Source organism: Homo sapiens, chromosome 22, assembly GCF_000001405.40.
Source record: "Homo sapiens chromosome 22, GRCh38.p14 Primary Assembly".
In the NCBI taxonomy this organism is placed as follows: Eukaryota; Metazoa; Chordata; class Mammalia; order Primates; family Hominidae; genus Homo; species Homo sapiens.
This window is the reverse complement of record NC_000022.11, coordinates 44,370,045-44,374,086: the sequence shown is the minus strand read 5'-3', so window position 1 is coordinate 44,374,086 and position 4,042 is coordinate 44,370,045. Positions and strand designations below refer to the sequence as shown.

The 4,042-nt window shown below is 54.6% G+C and overlaps 1 annotated feature.

Moving 5' to 3' along the window:
* Positions 3,541–4,042: an enhancer, noted in NCBI's record as "H3K4me1 hESC enhancer chr22:44765925-44766426 (GRCh37/hg19 assembly coordinates)". NCBI's record gives its function as "activates a minimal SCP1, AML or CMV promoter by ChIP-STARR-seq in primed H9 embryonic stem cells {active_cell/tissue: H9 hESC(primed)}" and the evidence as "EXISTENCE:reporter gene assay evidence [ECO:0000049][PMID:30033119]".

Here is a 4,042-nt window from a genome sequence, read left to right as displayed (position 1 = left end):
GAATGAATGGATGAAAGAATGTGAATTTGTTGAACAATGATCCGTGATGAAACCAGGGTCTCCTGGGTCCAAAGGCAACTGGGACTTCAAGCTCTGTTCCCAGCCAGGGCTTGAGTAGAAAGGTAAAGCTGGACAGGTCCCAGGTCCCAGCACATCTGTCCCCCTTGGCAGCTGGCATACCTGGGCCCGGCTCTACCTGGGCCACTGGATGAGTCCCAAGGCTATTCCCAGGCTATTCCCTGGGCTCCTGGCTGTCCCCAGTCCTCACTGGGCCCTAGGCAGACCACATTCTCACTACCGTCTCCCCTTTCTCAGGTTAGATGGGGTGGGTGCCAAAGGGAGGCCTCTCCCTGGCAGTGGGAGGGCTGTGGGAAGTGTGTGTGTATAGCATGTATAGCAGCCTGGAGGAAGCTAAAAGATAAACACCACTTAAGATGACTTGGCCCTTCCATTGGCCTCTCCTTTGGATGCAGAATTTAGATCAGCAACAACAAAGAAAGAGGGGCTCTCCTGCAGGGCTTGCTACACCTTACCCAACCAGGCCAGCCCACTCTGGGCTGCACAGGGCTCCTCTTACCACATCACCTGTAGAAGAGCTGGCCAGCCAAGCCATTGACACTGCCAACTGGCTTTGTTTTGTCTGTGAAGTAGCACAGAACTCCCCTGCAGGGCAGAGGCCAAGGGACACAGAAACTCCTGTCTCTGGGCTGGGTGCAGTGGCTCACGCTTGTGATCCCAGCACTTTGGGAGGCCAAGGCAGGTAGATCACTCGAGGTCAAGAGTTCAAGACCAGCCTTGCCAACATGGCAAAATCCCGTCTTTACTAAAAATACAAAAATTAGCCAGGCATGGCAGCACGCACCTGTAGTCCCAGCTACTCGGGAGGCTGAGGTATGAGAATCGCTTGAACCCAGGAGACAGAGGTTGCAGTGAGCCAAGATTGTGCTACTGCACTCCAGCCTGGGCTACAGAGCAAGACCCTGTCTCAAAAAAAAAAAAAAAAAAAAAAGAAGAGAAACTCCTGTCTCAGGTGTTCCCTCTTCATTGGTATCAGACAGATTTCCTCAGAGCGCCCTGGAGGGGTTTGGGAGGGCAGGGAGAGCTGGGAGGTGAGGCCAGAGGAGCTGATATGCATCGTCATGTGGGCTGAGGGTAACTGGGCTAGGGTCTTGGACCTTGGATTCTGGTTCTTTCCTGAAGGCCCAGAAGCTTCTGGCTCCTGGCCAAGATCCTAACCAATACCCACTGCCTCCCATGGACCTTGGCCACCCAACAGACTCCTATTCATCCCTCAAAACTTTGAGGCTGGCTCCTCCAGAAAGCCTTTGTCAGCTTCCCCAACACCTCCCAAAGAAGAAAACACTCTTTCTCTAGAATGACTTCCTGACTCCATTTCACATTGGATGGGCTGTCGTTGTTTCGGTCTCTCTCATCCCTGTGCAGGCTCGTGAGTATCTTGGGAACAGTCTGCCTTGCCCCTCCTCATCCCCCCAGCTCCAAGCACCACAGCCAACACAGGGTCAGGCTAAGAGCTGCTCTTCTCTGGAGGTGATTATGACTGGAGAAATGTCACAAACCTTGTAGAAAAGAGAGGGGCTGGAGGAGACACAGGGCAATGGGAGAATTTGCCAGCTGTCATTGGAGATCTGACTCACCGTCCCAGCCAGCAGCAGCTGGGATGCAAACCTGCCCCCTGGGAAGGTGCTGTGTGACCCTGGGCAGGTCCCTGTACTTCTCTGAGGCTCAGTCCCCTCCCCTCTACAAATGAGTAATGACCCATTCCCTTGAGGCTACTGTGAGACTCCAATAGGTCACAGCACGGCCTCTGTTCCCACCCTCTGTGAGTAGGCAGAGCCTGCATGAGCAGGTGGTCATCAGGAGGTTCAGTGGCAAACAGCAGAAATCTCATAGAAAGCCTATGTGAGGGTTCTCAGAATCTACAGGAGCCCAAATCCTAGCCAAGAAAGGGGACAGGAGTCGAGGGCAGCCTGGTGTCCCAGGACAGAAGCAGGTCCAGCTGTGGGAATAGAGTGGCCAGGCAGCCCTTGCTGTGGGTGCTGGCACTGCCACACTGGAGGCACAGTCTCTACCATGATCACTCCCTGATGGCACCAGCTTCTTTGCCTCACAAGCTCTAGATGCAAAGTCCCAGGGAAGCCTCTGATTGGCTGAGCCAGCTGGAGCAAAGTCCCAGGGGAGCCTCTGATTGGCTGACCCAGTTGGAGCCAATGACCTCAGCCTCCTGGCCTGGGCACTTCCCTAGTAGAAGAGTCAAACAATGGTGAACTCACCAGGACAGGACAGGGTGCAGGTGTCTGGTGGCCCCCAAAGCAACCAGTTCCACTGAGAGGGCTCTTTGTCATAGTAATTCAAGGAATCTCCCACGGCCAGAGCCAGAGCTGGGGGCTGTAGCAGGTTTCCTGGAGTTGCCATAATAAAAGACCACACAATGGGGCCTTAAAAAACAGTAGACTTTTATTCTCTCCCATTCTGGAGGCCAGAAGTCCAAAACCAAGGTGGCGACAGGGCCGTGCTCCCTCTGAAGACTCTTGGGCAGGATGCTGTCTTGCTTCTTGCAGCTCCTGGTGGCTGCGGCATCCCTGGGCATGTGGCTTGCAGTGGCTTCACTCCTGTCCTGCCTCCCTTGCCGCCTGTCCTTCTTCCCGGCTCTGGGCGCATTGCTGTGTCTTTCCAGGGCTTCTTAGAAGATCACATTACTGGGGCTGGGCACAGTGGCTCATGCCTGTAATCCCAGCACTTTGGGAGGCTGAGGCAGGCAGATCACCTGAGACCTGAAGTTGTGAGTTCGAGACCAGCCTGACCAACATGGTGAAACCCCATCTCTACTAAAAGTACAAAAGTTAGCTGGGTGTGGTGGCATGCACCTGTAATCCCAGCTACTCGGGAGGCTGAGGCAGGAGAATTGCTTGAACCCTGGAGGTGGAGGTTGCAGTGAGCCAAGATTGTGCCACTTCACTCCAGCCTGGGTGACAGAGTGAGACTCTGTCTCAAAAAAAAAAAAAAAAAAAAAGAAGATCACGTTACTGGACTTAAGGCCCACTTAATCCAGCATGACCTCATCTTAATGAATTACATCTGCAACGATGCTGTTTCCAGATGAGATCGCATGCTGGGGTTCTAGGCAGACACGGGCTTGAGGGACAGTAGTCCACCCGGTGCAGGAGCTTTGTGAGTATTTGTGATGGAGGCGACAGAAATGTGCTGCCACATCGAAACCTACTAGAAAAATGTTGTGCCTTCTGCACGGGGTCCTACACTGGTCCCCCAATCCGCTGTTGTGCCCCAAGAATCTGAGCTGTGTCTCCGACCCCACCACTTCCCCAGAGGCCACCCTTGAGGCCCATGTGTGCCGCTGCCCTCGCAAGGGGCATCTTCAGCCAGATCCTGGCAACAGAGCAGCAGGAAATTGATTCCTGGCATTTGGAGGATCAACAGGTCATTAAGGCAGCCGGCGACATCTGGTTTGGATGCTGCAGAAATGCCCGAAGTGCTTCCACACCCGATGGGGCCTGGGCTGCCAGGAGACCGGGGCTGGTGGCCAGAGAGAGTCCCCAACATCTAAGTCTGGGTCCTCAGACCTCGTGACATCACCCCACATAAAACCTTCAAGGGCCTCCTTTCCCTCGGGTAAAGGTCGAACATCTCAGCATAGCCCACAAGGCCCTGCAGGCTCTGGCCCAGCCCATGATGGGCCAGCAGCTCTTCCGCTCTTGGTATGGGCCCCCCTGAGCATCTGTCACTGCCTCAAATGCATGCTGAGGTCCTGCCTCAGGGCTTTTGCACAAACTGCCCCCAGCCTGAGAATATTCCCCCACTCTCTCCCCGAAGCCAGTTGAGGGTTCCTGCCCACCCTTTTGTCTCAGCCCAAATGTGGCCTATGCCAGGGCCAGGCTAGGTCACCTGTGAGCCACCCTTCAAGTACACACTCCTCAGTTTGCAACGGCACGTTATTGGTGATGACCACATTGTACCCCCCATCCTGAGGGACGGCAAGCTTTGCAGAGAGCTGCTCCCCACCACA